Source organism: Homo sapiens, chromosome 7, assembly GCF_000001405.40.
Source record: "Homo sapiens chromosome 7, GRCh38.p14 Primary Assembly".
NCBI lineage: Eukaryota > Metazoa > Chordata > Mammalia > Primates > Hominidae > Homo > Homo sapiens.
In genome coordinates, this window is record NC_000007.14 from 38683613 (window position 1) to 38700952 (window position 17340).

At 42.2% G+C, this 17340-nt stretch overlaps 1 pseudogene across 1 annotated transcript; it reads right to left on the reverse strand.

Moving 5' to 3' along the window:
- Window positions 1-1733: 1733 nt before the first annotated feature.
- On the reverse strand, window positions 1734-3477 carry CFAP144P1 (CFAP144 pseudogene 1; annotated as a pseudogene). Its single transcript, NR_028347.1, has 2 exons — window positions 2698-3477; window positions 1734-2600 (listed from the first exon to the last, which is right to left on the reverse strand). The product of NR_028347.1 is annotated as a CFAP144 pseudogene 1 (transcript).
- Window positions 3478-17340: the final 13863 nt, after the last annotated feature.

Sequence of the window (17340 nt, forward strand, 5' to 3'; positions counted from 1 at the left end):
TATTTACTTTTTAAAATATTGTCAACAGGTGTTATTTAGGCCAGTGGATTATGGAAAATCCTGCAAATTGGCTCACTCAGTGCAAACTCCAACAGCTTCTATTGCCTTCCCGTACTACAGAAGCTAGCAAACTAACAAACAAACAAACAAACAAGCAAAAAACCCTGCATTTCCTAGACTCTCTTGAAACTGAGAACCCATATGTGACCTAGTTTTTATCAAGCAAACATACTGCTTAGGTAAAACTTAGAAAAAAATTAGCACTTAGGGATGATGGGATGTTCTAGCCAATCTGTGGGTAGAGATATTCTGCAGTAACTGTAGTGGAGGTTCTATGGTCTAGGTATAAGCTAGACTGTAGTCCTCAAAATCAAAAGTGTGAAGGGATAGTGTGAAGTGGCCATGGAGTTTCCATAAGAGCAGTTTCATAGAACTGTGTTCTATGTGGTGCCATTGTTCCTGTTTGGGCAACATCCAAGATAAGAACTTAACTCACTTAACACTTCTCCCCCCTGCTTTTCTCCTCCTTCCCAAATTTCATTTTGTTTATTTTTTTGAGAGAGTCTCACTCTGTTGCCCAGGCTGGAGGGCAGTGGCATGATCTCAGCTCACTGCAACCTCCACCTCCTGGGTTCAAGCGATTCTCCTGCCTCAGCCTCCTGAGTAGCTCGGATTACAGGTGCACGCCACCACGCCCGGCTAATTTTTGTATTTTTAGTAGAGGCAGGGTTTCACCATGTTGGCCAGGCTGGTCTCCAACTCCTGACCTCACGATCCACCCACCTCAGCCTCCCAAAGTGCCGGGGTTACAGGCGTGAGCCACTGCGCCTGGCCCCCACATTTTGAATAATTAGCATTAATTATTTATATGAATTATTATATAATTATTATAATAATTAGCATTAATTATTTAAAATGTTAAGTTAAATTTCTTTTGGTGGCTTCAAAACCGACAGTATAATGGTTACTATTTTTGTTCAACTAACTTTATCTTAACTTTCCTTAACTTCCTGTAAAACTCTACCCTCTCCTCCAACTTTCTTCAGTCTTGCTTCCACCAAGACTTTTGAGAGTGAAAGAAGGCACTATTTGTAATTACACTGGGACAAGAGGCATAATCAAATCTTATATGTTCATGCCATATAAGTAGGATCATATTCCTGTCAGTTCTCTCCACCTGTCTGAAAATACATGCTTACAATCTTTTATTAATCAAAACGTAAGATCAATAAGTTCAAATATACAGAAAAATATAGAAGTATGCAAAAATGTCGGCATGTTTAGATTCACCATATAAGTGAGATCATGTGGTATTTGTCTTTCTGTGCCTGGCTTATTTCACTTAACATAATGTCCTTCAAGTTCATCCATGTTGCTGTAAATGATGGGATTTCTTTCTTTTTTAAGGCTGAATTGTATTCCATTAAGTAAATATACCACATTTTCTAAATCTAAAAAAGTCAAACTCATAGAAGTAGAGATTAGAATGGTGATTACCAGGGGTTAGGGGTAGGAATTGGGGCGATGTTGGCTAAAGGATACAAAATTTCAGTTAGGAGGAATAAGTTCAAGAGAGCTGTCATACACTGTAGTGACTACAGTTAATAACAATGTATTGTATTCTTGAAAATCGCTAAGAGAATAGATTTTAAGTCCTCTCACCACAAAATAAGTATGTGAGATACTCGATTTAACCATTCCACAATGTATACGTATTTCAAAACATCACATTGTACACAATAAATATATGCAATTTATTATTAATTTTAAAAACAAATGGTTTAAAATGCTAACATTAGTCACTTCCATATGGTGAGATAATGGGCAATTTTTATTTCCTTCTTCCGCATATTTTTTATGCTTCCTAATTTTTGCCATTATCCATGAATTATGGATGGGGGACGGGGGGTTAAAATAATGTTTAGTCTTCTAGGCAGTGGATATTTAGGGCATTAAATCCAGGGCCTGACTCCACAGCTGAGATGCTACTTGTGGCGATCATCTTCTCCCAAGCTCCACATTTTAGCTTTGTACAGAGTGATGTCACTGTAGACCCTGAAGTGGTTCATCCTGTGGTCACGGCGTTCTGGGTCGACCAAGGCTTCTGAGTCCCACCCAATTTCCTGGTTTTCAGTCTGTGCCTCCGGGTACTTCTTCGTTGGCCCCTGGGCAGCATGGTGAATGAGATTCAGAAACCTGGCGTCTGCGGGTTCCTCCAGGTTATCATGCCAAGACATAGGCTTCCTCGTAATCCTGTGAACCTTGCGCAGGGGATTCACATGGTACTGCGTGTGGAGTTTCTGGGTTCGTAACTCTTTGAGGTACAGCTCCCGCAAGATCTGGTTCTGATGGACCTCATCTGTGACCACCCTCTCTTTCGGGTGTCCCGCCATAGCCTTGGGGCTGCTCCGTGGGTCCGGGGCTCTCTCGGCGTCCTCTTACCACTCGCTTGGCTGCGGGCCTTCTGCAGTCTCTAGGCAATGGCACCCCACTCCGTCTCCAGGCAACGGCGTTCGTATGATACCGCTCTGGCCTCTCGGAATCCAGCCTCTTTACTAGAACCGCCTCTGGATACTGCCAGGAAAAAGGCTCGCCATCAACTGGCAAACCCAGGAGATAATGAACATAAAACTAGACCTCACGTTGTCCAATCACCTCCCTCCTTGAGAACAGATTCGATGCTTTTCACTCCCCTACCTTCTCTGCCCCTGGTCCTGCAGTTTGCTCCGTGGTTACAAACCAAGTTCCACGGAGAAGCCAGTTCAAATGCAGAGGCTTGTGCAGTCTGGCTGCCCAGGCAGGAGAGGAAAGGCGCAGGCCAGGCCGAATGTTCGCTTGCCATGGTCTTGGATTCCCCGTGTCTGCCAGGTCGCTGCTGGGAATCCACAAGTCCTGGCAATTCTGGACCGCCTGGGAACTGCCCCAGTAGGAGGGAAACCATTTCTCCAGGGTGAGATTTGCAAGCCGTCAGGTCTGGTTGGGGGTGGCTGGATAGGGAGTGGGGACTAGAGTACAGGGGACTAGAAAGAAGGGCTATGAGGAGGGTGAGGGGGAAAGATAGGGGGACACCGGGAAAGGGGTGCCTGACGAACAGGGCGGCGGCACACGGACGCCCTGGTAGTAACAGAGGAAGGGCCGGGCAGGAAGTTCCTTGAGGTAGGGTACTGGGAAGGGGCGACATTAGTCAGCTTGGGCAAACGGGTAGGGCAGAAAATCGAACAACTTGGACGGCTCTGGAGAGGAGGCTGACGGCAGGAAGTTTGAGGAGTAACGGGGGGAAGGAGGGCTGGAAGACGAGAGCGGGAAGGAACAGAAAGAAAATGAGGCTGGGGTTGAGGCCGAGAAATTGGAGGTAGCTTTCTAGTCATTTTTCCAAATCAGCGCTGTAGTAACTCACTTGTCCAAACGAGTCAAAATGAGTAACTGAGATGTGCTGAGACCGACTCCAGCTTTTATCCCCTCAGGACATTCCATCACAGAATGCCTATTATGAAATGTACATTTATCTCCTTAGGTCATTTCATCACAGAATCCCTATTATGAAACGTACATTCTCCCCTTTGTTCTAGTGAGGAGGCCCCACCAATCAGAGAAAAGATCTGTTTCTTGGTTTAAGAGTGATCATGGGAAATAGCAAAGAAAAGAAATGGGGCTGTAATATTAGTCCCTGTTCTTGGGATATTACGTAGTTTTGCCCCTGGACAGGCAAAGATTGATCAAGGGGCTAACAGAGGTAGGGGCTTGGGGCCTAGGAGAGCAGTTCTGAAGCAAGAATTGGGAAAATGGGAAGTCAGTATCCTAGTCTCTTTCCCTTACTACATTGTTCAAAGCCCTTTCACATTATCTACCTCACTGCGTGAATATGCATGATTAGAGACGTTATGTTCATTTTACCAGTGAGGACACTAAAGACCACAGAGGGAAGGACCATAGGCAGGCAGTGGGTGGGTAAGCAGGCAGGACAAGAACTTGGGCCAAAAAGAGGGGGCAGGTAGGAGAGGCCACAAAATGGCACAAAGCGCTGACCAGCACCATTGCCTCCTCCTGTGTCTCTGGACAGGATCTTGGAGGGGATGTCTCAGAGAAGAGCTGTAGTTTTTGTAGCTTACCTCTTGGTCCCTGTGCTCCCTTGGTTTGATGACTTAATCTTCACTGGAACCAGACACACAGGGTCCAAGCTGGTAGGATGACTGCCCACTCCTGAGCACCTAGTGACTAGATTTGGACTTCCTTGCTCACTACCTGAGATGCCTAACTCCATCAGATGATGAAGGAAGCTGCTGCCCTCCCCTCTCTTTTGTCTGAAGTAGCAACCCTCTCTGCTGAACATTCCTGGTTTCTTTGAATGCCATTCAAATCATAGTCTCCTTTGGTCACCTATTCTCTCCTGTGCTTGTATCATCACAAGATTCTGAATTTTCTCCCTTGGCCCAACACCCTTTTCCTCCCATGCTGCATAAAACTTCCAGTTATGCTTTGGAAGTCCAGCTACATGATTTTTAGCAAACTTCCCTTTTTCCATAGACTGCTTCTTTATTGACAGTTCCTTGCCTCTCCTTATTTTAATTGTAACTTGGATTTCTCTTAAGGACATTGCTTCCTTTTTATCTCAAGTAGAAACTACTTATTCTCTCAAACTCTAAAGTACTTCAGAGTAAGAATGTGGTTTATAGAGTCTCCTCGCTCCTTCCGACTCCTTGAAAACTGCTCTGCATTATTCCTCTCTTCATACTGGAAAATCTCTTGCTCCTTATGAGTTATCTTTAAACTAGGAAAGAAAACTTACTGGGAAATAAAAAAGTAACACCTTCCTTATAATGACCTAAATGAACAAAAATGTTAATTCATAGTTCAGAAAACTTTGTCTATTCAGAAAACAAGTATGTTCTCTATTCTCACTGTGTATTAGTCTGTTCTCATGCCGCTAATAAAGATATACCTGAGACTGCGTAATTTACAAAGAAAAAGAGGTTTAACAAACTCACAGTTCCATGTGGCTGGAGAGGCCTCATAATCATGGCAAAAGGCAAAGGAGGAGCAAAGGCACATCTTACATGGTGGCAGGCAAGAGTGCATTTGCAGGGGAACTCCCCTTTATAAAACTATCAGATCTTATGAGACTTATTACCATGAGAACAGCAAAGGAAAGACCCACCCCCATGATTCAATTACCTCCCACCAGGTCCCTCCCATGACATGTGGGAATTGTGGGAGCTACAATTTAAGATAAGATTTGGGTGGGACACAGCCAAACCATATCACACTGATTGTAAACAACAGCCAATAGATTGTTTACTTTTGACCAGGTTGAGGGAAGAGTCAACATATAGTTCCATAGAGCATGTTGCAGGCAGTGAGGGAAGAGAAAGCACAGGAATTTTTGAAGATCTTTCTAAGGTCCCTTCAATTTGGAGAATAGCACTTAAGAATCTGGGGAAGCCAAGAAAAGAAAGGAGCTCAGTTCCTCACCACAGAATGACACTGGTGGCAGGATCAAGAAATAGCAGGTGCCTACATGGACTTTGCATTATGGAGACCCAGGTCCTGCAAGCAGCCTGACCCATGGCTGGCTGAGTTACTTTCCACTAAGTAGACCACAGATCTGAAGGAAATATATGTGAGGATAAAGTTACCAGAGTGCCTAGTTTTCTTCCCAATCCATCAATTATTTGAAGAACTGGGCTCAGCAGGGCTTCTCCCAAGGTGCATGAAACCTGGGAGAACCACCATGCAGGGAGCCACAGTAGAGGCCAACATGTGGATAGTTTGGTGGCTCTGCCTCAAACAGAGGACAGAACAAATGAAACAGAAACAAATATATTCTTAAAAATATTTTAGAAGAAATTTTCTCTAAAATGAAGGAAGGTAGCGATCATCTGATCAAGAAGAAAATTTACAATGGCTGGCTAATGCCACAACATTCTGGAAAACTTGCTGAACTACCAGGTTAAAGATAGCCTTATGAATGCTCCTGTCACCTATTAAGCTTAAAAACTGAGGCTGAACTCACACATCTTCTAAGTAGCATTAAATGCTGGCAGATAATGGAGCAAGTTTCAGAGGAATGCCACTTGGATGTGGTCTGCAGGCTGGCAGCTTCAGCATCACTTGGGATCTTGTTAGAATGCCAAATCCTGGACCACTATCCCGGACATACTAATTTGAATTCTCTGGAGGTGGAACTCAGAAATCAGTGTCTTAATATGCCCTCCAGGTGATTCAGATGCATGGCTAACGTATGAGAGGCACTGCTCCAAACTTTAGTAAAACAAACACATACAGCTCATGAATTTTACATCATGCTAGGTTGTCATTTGCATATGAAGGTAACAGACAGCCATCTCTTCTTTGTATAAAATCAGGAAGTATATTTCTCATGAGTATTTGAAACAGGAGGAATTGAATAAAGGAATTCAGTTTCACTGTTGACGTAAGAGCTAAGATAACAAATGACATTAAGACACTTCAAGATTAGCCCAACAGCCAGTCCCTGGGCTGTCTGGACAAAGGAGTCAGGCCAGGGGCCAGAGTTGCCTGAAGGAATCTGGAATCCTGGCAGGCCTGTCCAGTGGGGATGGAGATAGTGCTTTAGACAACGGGGAGCTGGTGCCTGAGATGCTGACTGAGATGGATTGGGAGAAAAAGACTCTGCTTCACCTTCCTCCATCCTTCCAGTTTCTTGCAGACATTCCTGTTGGCGAAATCTAGCTGAAAAATCAGCTGAGTCAAGAACCTATGGCTCAGGGCACAGCAGGGGAAGGGCAAGGAAGGACTCTGAGGGCCAGCAGGGCAGGGACTGGTACGAAGTCTATACCCAGTCTACCAAATGATAAATCAAACTAAGTCACAAATGGGGAAGGGTGTGAAAAGACCGGCAGCAGTGCCATCTTCCCAGGCTTAGGATGTGGTTGTAGAGGGCCTTGTGCTGAAACAGGCCTCAAGTGGCTTAATGCTCAGCTGTTGTCATCTGAAAATTCTTAATAATTTTTGAGGAAAGTCTCTACATTTTCATTTTGAACTGGGCCTTAAAAATTCGGTGGCCACCCCTGACTGAGACTAAACAGTAAATTATTTAAAAATAGAAAAATAATGTTCATGGTACAGAATGTAGATGTTATACCTATTTATCGAAAAGCTACATAATGTTAAAAATAACGATAACAGACACATAAAAATCCTAATATGTTCTGACGCAATCTTAAAGCTTATAGAAGGAAGTCTAAGTGGGTGAGCGCTGTCATCTTCCACAGGGAGAAGTAGATTTTGTTTTGCTTTATGAGGTTGAATGAAGATGACTTGGAATGTTCACTTTTAAGTATGTTACTTAAAGTTGAAACAAGATCAGTCTTAATAATTTTCAAATTACCACAGGGAGAAGAGTGAGATGACCTAAAAAAAAAATATATAGGCCATGTAGCAAAGATACAAACTAAGAAAGCACACTTAAACAAAATGAGAATGAAACTGTCTCTGGTAATACCTGCAAATGGTATTTACTCAAGTATTGAATCACAAAATTAAACCCAATGAGTTAATGTCTGTATGAGATACAATTAAAACGGTGCATCTTGTCGACACTAATATTAGTGTCGACAAGAGATACTCCTAAAGCAAGTGCAATCGAAATTTTAAATAAACAGATGGGCAAAATATGTCAGGGGAAACTTGCCAAAGAGTGTTACTTTGTTGATGAAAAGTGTCAAACTCTGTAAAATATTTGAAAAGATTTATTCTGAGCCAAATATGAGTAACCATGGCCTGTGACACAGCCTTCAGGAGATTCTGAGAACGTGTGCCCAAGGTGGTTGAGGTGGAGCTTGGTTTTATACATTTTAGGGAGGCATGACACATCAACCAAATACATTTAAGATATGCATTGGTTCGGTCCAGAAAGGTATAACAACTTGAAGGCAGTGTCATTAGGGGCGTCGAATATCCAAATACAGACAGTGAATCATACAGGTCTGCAGTAACCTTAATTCTTGCCTCCTCAGAAGAAAGAATTTGACTGAGAGCTTAAGGCAGAAAAAGAGACAGAGGCAAGTTTCAGAGCAGGAGTGGAAGGGGTTTTTGTTTGTTTGTTTGTTTGTTTGTTTTTTGAGATGAGTCTCGCTCTTTCGTCCAGGCTGTTGTGAAGTGGTGCGATCTCGGCTCACTGCAACCTCCGCCCGCCCCGGGTTGAAGTGATTCTCCTGCCTCAGCCTCCTGAGTAGCTGGGATTACAGGTGCCCACCACCAAGCCCTGCTAATTTTTGTATTTTTAGTAGAGACAGGGTTTTGCCATGTTGGCCAGGCTGGTCTTGAACTCCTGATCTCAGGTGATCCACCAGCCTCAGCCTCCCAAAGTTCTGGGATTAGAGACGTGAGCCACCATGCCCAGCCTGGAAGTTTATTAAAAAGATGTAGAGCACGAAAGAAAGCAAAATACACTTAGAAGAACAAGTGAGGCATTTGACCTTTGGACTTGGGGTTTTACATGCCGGCATATTTCCCGGGTCTTGCGTCCCTTTTCCCATGATTCTTCCCTTAGGGTGGGCCACCACATGTGCGGTGCCCTCCTTGTGCTCGGGAGGTGAGCACGCACAGTGTGTTTAAGAAGCTGTACAAATGCCTGCCTGAGGCTTTCTTCCCTTTTCCGGTGGAATCCCCCTGGAAGGTCATATTCCACCTTTTGTCTCTTAATTTGCACGCCCCAGCTGACTCGCCCAACTCCTGAAAGCTGCCGATTACCAGTCACAGGTGTTTCCTATCAACATAGGGAGATTGCCTTTCCCTGGTGCTGGCTGCGACCAATTATTATTTTCCAGTGACAGTTAACAACCGCCTGACCATCACCTGATGGTCACCTGACTTTCCTGGTAGGGGTGCGGGGGAAGCCCTCTCCTGCCCGACCCCATGCCTGGCTAGCTATCTCCTGTAACGAGGGGCTTCCAGGTTATACAGGTAGATTTAAAATTTTTCTGATTGGCGGCCGGGCGCGGTGGCTCACGCCTGTAATCCCAGCACTTTGGGAGGCCGAGGTGGGCGGATCACGAGGTCAGGAGATCGAGACCATCCTGGCTAACACGGTGAAACCCCGTCTCTACTAAAAACACAAAAAATTAGCCGGACGTGGTGGCGGGCGCCTGTAGTCCCAGCTACTCAGGAGGCTGAGGCAGGAGAATGGCGTGAACCCGGGAGGCAGAGCTTGCAGTGAGCCAAAATCCCGCCACTGCACTCCAGCCTGGGCAACAAAGCGAGATTCCATCTCAAAAAAAAAAAAAAAAAAAAAAAAAGTCTGATTGGCAATTGCTTGAAAGCGTTATTATCCATAGAAAGGAATGTCTGGGTTATGATAAGAGGTTGTGGAGATCAAAATTGTATCATGTAGATGAGGCCTCCACGTAGCAGGCTTCACAGACAGTGGATTGTAAATGTTTCTTATCAGACTTAGGATGTGTGTTACTGTTAATGCTGGAAGGTATAATGAGGCATGTCCAACCCCAACTTCCCATCACAGCCTGAACCAATCCTTCAGGTTAACTTGTAGACTGCCCTGGCCTAGGAGGAAGTCCATTCAAATGGTTGGGGGGCCCTTAGAATTTTATTTTTGGTTTACAACTTTATGTGGTTGAAGAGTCAAGTTCATAAGAGATTCCTAATTGTCATGAAGCCATAGCATCAAAACATCATGTGAGCAATTCTTTTCATTTATAAGCTATTCTTGAAAAAGTTTATGAAAATGTAATATGCCAAAGCTGATAAACCCTTTAAGTTACAAAGCGAATTTCATTCCAAGAGAGCTACTGTGTGGCAATATTTCTAACTACACCTTACCTTCTGGGTCTGCACCCTCCATTACAACAGCCGCTGGCCATACTTGAGCACTGCAGAGTGTCTGAGAGCATGGCCTGTCTGAAGTGAGACACGCTGTAAATGTAAAATAAATACCAGCTTTTTAAGGCTTAATATGAAAAAAATGTAAATTGCCTTATTAGTAATTTTTTATACCTATTTTATGCTGAAATGATAATGTTTCTGGATCCATTGTATTAAATAAAATATATCGCAAATTTAATTTCATGTGTGTCTTTTTAATTTTTTCTTTTTTTTTTTTTTGAGATGGAGTCTCGCTCTGCCACCCAGGCTGGAGTGCAGTGGTATGATCTCGGCTCACTGCAGCCTCCGCCTCCCAGGTTCAAGTGATTCTCCTGCCTCAGCCTCCTGAGTAGCTGGGATTACAGGCATGTGCCACCACACCTGGCCAATTTTTGTACTTTTAGTAGAGACAGGGTTTCACCATATTGCCCAGGCTGGTCTTGAACTCCTGACCTCGTGATCTGCCTGCCTCGGTCTCCCAAAGTGCTGGGATTACAGGCGTGAACCACTGTGCCCAACCATCTTTTTAATATTTTAATGTGGCCTCTAGAAAATTTAAAATTACCTGTGTGGCTTGTATTATATTCCACCAGACACTGATGTTCCAGTGTCTGGAACTATATTTATTAATATAGTTTCAATGTAGTTCATGTAGTTTCATTAATTTTGCTTTACTTTCATAATAAATGCCTGAAGGAAACTGAGGATTTGCTACTTGGTTACCTCTGATAAATTCCATCTTTATTGCATTAGAATTAATCTTATGAAAAAGCTACAGTTCTTACCATCAGCATCAACCCCTTTATGTTTAGATGTTACGATCATTTTTATAAAATAATAAAGGTGAGATCAAATTAATATTCAGATAATTTCATAAGACAAGAGAGTAATAGTATCAGAAATGAACTCTAAGCCAGGCATGGTGGCTCACATCTGTAATCTCAGCACTTTGGGAGGCAAAGGCAGGAAGACTGCTTGAGGCCAGGAGTTTGAGACCAGCCTGGGCAACACAGCGAAACCGTCTCTGCTGAAAGGAAAAAAAAAAAAGGAAGTGGACCGTTGACTGGCTGATAGGCACCCCCACCATGAAAAACAACTCAGAGAGTTTTGAGGTCAGTTTGTGTAGGAAAGTCTGAATTCAGCACATCAGAGCTGATGTAGAGGAATCAAAAGTCATTTAACAAAGTTTAACTTTTATGAAAATCAGATGTAAAGAAGTCAAGGATTATCTATAAGAATCCTGCTGAAAATATAGAATGTGACAATAATACAAGCATAGTAACATAAATCTCTTCTAGTCATTGACAGATTACACAGTAAAAAATTGTTACAGCTGAATAATGCTATATTATATATACTTACATATATAGTATTATTCATATATGTATAAATAGATACAGATAAATAGATATAAACCTATAAATATCCTATCCCTTTCTTTGAAAATATACCTCCTTTAAGAAAAATATAAACATATCTTCTGATTGGGCCCAAAGATTCAATAATGTGGAGGTGTTCCATTGTATTAGACCATTTTCACACTGCTGATAAAGACATACCCAAGACTGGGTAATTTATAAAGAAAAAGAAGGTTAATGGACTCACAGTTCCACGTGTCTGGGGAGGCTTCACAATCATGGCAGAAGGCAAAAGCCATGTCTTACATGGCGGCAGGCAAAGAGAGAATCAGAGCCAAGTGAAAGGGGTTTCCTCTTATAAAACCATCAGATCTCATGAGACTTATTCACTAAGATGAGAACAGTATCAGGGAAACCGCCCCCATGATTCAATTACTTCCCACTGGGTCCCTCCCACGACACATGGGAATTATGGGAGCTACAATTCAAGCTGAGATTTGGGTGGGGACACAGCCAAACCATATCACCCATCTTCTCAAATCTACAAACAAATTAAATGCAGTTGCAAACAAAAATACTTACTTTTGTGATTTGATCAAATAGTTTAAAAGGTCTTGTAAAATAATGTATAACTGAGAAGTGCCAGAAGACATTCTAAAAATAAAAAATAATGAGATAGGTTTGTCCTTTGCACATAGAAACACATGAAATCATAGCAATTAAAATAGTACAGGGAAAGGATTAGACAATGAATGAATCACAGAAAATTGGTATATGATAAATGATCACTTAGAATAGGTGTGGGAATTCAGTCAATAGCAAACTACTTCAGAAAAATAAAGGCTAATTCCTATCTCACTTCTTAAATCCAACAAAAATACAAAATGGATCAAAGTTTGTAGCATAAAAAAGAAAATCATATATATATTCATCTACATTACCTTGGCTTACTACTACAATTTGCATTTTGTGGCTTGTTTACGCTTATGTGTTTAATCCATCTAGTGATATCTATTTTTGTTCTTCTAGTTCTAAAATGCTTTTAATTTCTGCTATTCTCATTACTGTCTTTTTCAAACATTTCTCAACATTCTCACAGGTTTTCTTTCTAATCACTCACAGGTTTATTCTCATATATTGACTTAGAACTTGTAGAAAGCTGAAACTGGATCCCTTCCTTACACCTTATACAAAAATCAATTCAAGATGGATTAAAGACTTAAACGTTAGACCTAAAACCATAAAAACCCTAGAAGAAAACCTAGGCATTACCATTCAGGACATAGGCATGGGCAAGGACTTCATGTCTAAAACACCAAAAGCAATGGCAACAAAAGCCAAAGTTGACAAATGGGATCTAATTAAACTAAAGAGCTTCTGCACAGCAAAAGAAACTACCATCAGAGTGAACAGGCAACCTACAAAATGGGAGAAAATTTTCACAACCTACTCATCTGACAAAGGGCTAATATCCAGAATCTACAATGAACTCAAACAAATTTACAAGAAAAAAACAAACAACCCCATCAAAAAGTGGGTGAAGGACATGAACAGACACTTCTCAAAAGAAGACATTTATGCAGCCAAAAAACACATGAAAAAATGCTCACCATCACTGGCCATCAGAGAAATGCAAATCAAAATCACAATGAGATACCATCTCACACTGGTTAGAATGGCAATCATTAAAAAGTCAGGAAACAACAGGTGCTGGAGAGGATGTGGAGAAATAGGAACACTTTTACACTGTTGGTGGGACTGTAAACTAGTTCAACCATTGTGGAAGTCAGTGTGGTGATTCCTCAGGGATCTAGAACTAGAAATACCATTTGACCCAGCCATCCCATTATTGCAGAGTGTCTGAGAGTGTTTGCTTTATGAGGTTGAATGAAGATGACTTGGAATGTTCACTTTTAAGTATGTTACTTAAAGTTGAAACAAGATCAGTCTTAATAATTTTCAAATTTATAATCCCAAAGGATTATAAATCATGCTTCTACAAAGACACATGCACACGTATGTTTATTGCATTCAGGGGAACCCCAGCATAGTGGGAGAAGCACAAGTGGCTCGGAAGTTGAGTGCTGAGATCCATGCAACCCCCAAGGAGGCCTCACTCACCCAGCATCAGGGAGAGGAAGGCAGGTGTGGAGTTCGAGCAGTCACACCACCAGTGTCAGTAGCCCTGTCCCAGGATCCCAGAGCTGTCACCTTACAGCTGCAGAGAAACCAGCCCTGTATCTTTATTGCAGCATTACTCACGATAGCAAAGACTTGGAACGTTTATTGCGGCATTATTCACAATAGCAAAGACTTGGAACCAACCCAAATGTCCAACAATGATAGACTGGATTAAGAAAATGTGGCACATATACACCATGGAATACTATGCAGCCATAAAAAATGATGAGTTCATGTCCTTTGTAGGGACATGGATGAAATTGGAAATCATCATTCTCAGTAAACTATTGCAAGAACAAAAAACCAAACACCGCATATTCTCACTCATAGGTGGGAATTGAACAATGAGAACACATGGACACAGGAAAGGGAACATCACACTCTGGGGACTGTTGTGGGGTGGGGGGAGGGGGGAGGGATAGCATTGGGAGATATACCTAATGCTAGATGACGAGTTAGTGGGTGCAGCGCACCAGCATGGCACATGTATACATATGTAACTAACCTGCACATTGTGCACATGTACCCTAAAACTTAAAGTATAATAATAATAAAAAAATTAAAAGAAAAATAAAAAAAGAACTTGTTTTTATTATGTTTTAAAAGCAGTCTTTAGGGATTTTGATTGGAGTTGTGTAAAATACACAGATGAATGTGGGAAAAATTGGTACCTTTATAATTTGTCTTTCCAACCAGAAATCAGAAATATCGCTTCATTGATTCAATTATACAAGTATCTCCGTAACTTTAGTTGTTTTCTTCAATATTCGCCTTTCACATTTCTTTTTCTTTTCTTTTCTTTTCTTTTTTTTTTTTTTTTTTTTTTGAGACATTGTCTTACTCTGTCACCCAGGCTGAAATGTAGTGGTGCATTCATATCTCAATTTTTTAGAGATGGGGGCTCGATATGTTACCTAGGCTGGTCTGGAATTCCTGGCCTCAAGCAATCCTCCCGCCTCAACCACCCAAAGTGCTGGGATTTAGAGGCATGAGCCATCACACCCAGCCTCTCATTTCTTTTTTAATTTGCTTCTAGGTGTCTTACAATATAGGTTTCTATCATATTTTCTTTCTTCCCTGGAGTTTGCTTGCAAAGTTTCGACTTAATCGTGCTCCTCAGTTTTATGGTCGGATGGCTTGTCATTTTTGTGGGTTTGTCTATCCATTAGTTATTAGTTGTTGTGCCATTGGGGGTGCGTACATAGGCAGTGATCTCTTGAATGGCTGCATCAGTCTTAGTCTTCCTGGTTTCTCACTTGCAACATGCACCTTCAGGTACCCTCAAATGTCTCAGTGGTGAATTCCATGCAGGCTAGGGAACTCCTTCCTCTGCAAATTCCCCTCACTTCAGGAACTTGGCTCCTTAATTCCTAGCTGCCTTGGTAGCCCTGAACAATTTGGGCCTGCCCAAGCTGGTGAGACCGTATCAGCCTCTGGTTCATTTTGGACTCTGTTGGGCCTCTACGCCTGCAGTGTGGATTGGCAAATGCTCTGCAGGTACAAAGCTTTGGAGGAGGCCCAGCTCACCTCTGTGAGTTTCCTTTCTCTCTCCTAAGCCCTGACTACCTTGCTTGCCCTCTGATATCTCCAAACAGTTTTGTTTTGTTTTTTCATGGGAGTCCTGGAGGTGGCATTTTTTTTCCAGCTTTTAGAGTTGAGTAAGTCAGATTATCAGCCACTCTGTCAAAGCCAAACACAAGCCCATCCGACCAGCTTCTAATTGGTTAAACTACACTGCATCCTTTCACTTCAGTTCTCAACTGTGATCACATTTTTATCAAGTGGGAAATGAAAGTTAAGGAAATAAATGGTTCTAAACAGGAAACTTGGATAATGTAGTGAAGATCACATGACAAGGCAGACGTCTGTTTTCAGAATTTAAGGTTTTGAAGAATATTTCCTAATTGAAAATCTAGCTTGGTAAGGTGAGTCTCTGCCCTCATGTCCCCACCAAATCCACTTTGTTCCATGATCCTGCAGGTACCAAGACTAGGATAACAGAAAGAGGCCTCTGATAGTGAAGAAAGGGACAATCACTCTATCACATGGTAGCACACAGAAGATATGCCTAAGGCTGGTTGCAGGTGTGAAGGACCTCTGTCTATTGGGTAACCAGCTCCCTTCACTTCTCTGGATCATTCTGACTGAACCAAGTGGAGCTGACAGAAGCTGTCCTCGAGTCCCCGGGGCATGGGTGGCAGCCGGTGGGCTCCAATGAGGCCATTTGGGGGAGAGGAAGAAAGAATTGGAATGGGTTTCCCTGCTGAGTGTGATGGGGAGGCCATGTGTGATTGAGGGGATTAGCTTTATTTGGAGCTTTAGCTATTATACCTGACTGGCTTTGAGTGTGACCAGGTGGCTTCAAATAGGAACACCCTGTGTTCCGAATCAAGCCAACTCATGGGTGCATCTGATTGGCAGGCTATAATTTCCTTGAAGTCTGTTTCAGAAAGGTAGGCTTTCCACAGTGGGGAACTAGTCAAAGCTAGAAAGGGCATTCAAAAGATTTGGAGCACTTGTGAATGATAGGACTCCCCAAGAGATAGAGACACCAGGGACAGAAAGCATCAAAAAATGACTGTTTCTGATTAAAATACAAAGGAAGAAAAAGAAATCTTAAACACTTCCAGAAACAGATGAGGCAATGACGTTTATGACTCATTAAGGGATTATTCTGGGCCAAGCTGTTTAAATCCTTACCACAAGTCTTGGAGGCAGGCATTGTTATCCCCATTTTATAGGGAGAAACTGAGGTGTCAAGAGGTGAAGTGAACCGTCCCAGACCCCACAGGTTATACATGACAGGGCCAGTATAACACAAATGTCTCCGTCTGAAACCTGAGCCACTCACTGCCACTCCATACTGTCTCTCCCTTTGGGGTAGATCTCAGTGGCTGGAGAGTCTCTCTGTTCAACGTTGGTGTTGACAATCACAACAAAGTTAAGTGAGGTTTGGCAAGTGGATGTCCCGTATGTAGAAAGATTTCACTGGACATACTCTTTTTTAAAATTTTTATGACTCCAAGGGAAAATACAAATTACTTTTTAAAAGTTCAGGTATGTGGATAACTTCATTTTTGTGACAAGTGAAAGAATGCCCTGAAATTGTATATGAATGCAAATCAGTGTGGTATTTTATATCAATTACATGACAGACATGACTCACATAAATATGGAAGAAGGAGTGGCCATTTACTAGCATCCTTGTAAAATAGAAAGCAGTGTCCCTTGAACAAAATTTCATTTTACCTGGACTGTGTTTAACTAACAGCCAGCATAGGAATCACCTGGCAACGAGCCTGGGATCTTGAGATCGCAGCACTGGAACTACAGGAACTTTCTCAAGCTCTGTGGAAAAATCTGCCTGGTAAGAGCTAAAAACGTCCCATTGGTCCAATTTTAGAACTTTCCCTCTGAGTCTTTTAGAAGTAACAGAAACCCAGAGGGGAAAGCAGGGAGAAATGGAAAGAGCTGTGACCCAGAAGCGGAGAGGGGCTCCGTCAAGCCTGGGTCTGGTACTCCTTAGCTTCAGCAAGTCACGTCACCTTTCCAGCCTGTTTCCCTTTTCTGTAAAATACAAGTTAATATGACAATATAATTAATATATTAAAATATATAAAATCCCAGATTTTAATAATATGCTATTCAAATATATTAATATGCTTTTTAAATATACTAATATGCTTGTAGTGTTTCTCAAGTTCATCTCACCACATGTCCCTTGTTTTCTGAGCTCGCTGGGGGATTGATGCTCCACGGAGCGCTGCTGGGAAACGCTGGACCAGAGCCAGTTCCAAAGACTTCCTTCTGAAAATCCTAGGTTTGTTCTGCAGGTGTGGCCTAACAGCTCCATCTTTTTTGTGTTCAGAAACATTCATCCTGTGCTATCACATGCGGCATCGCCTCAGGTAAGACAAGCAGAACAGGGAGCAAAGGAAAACTT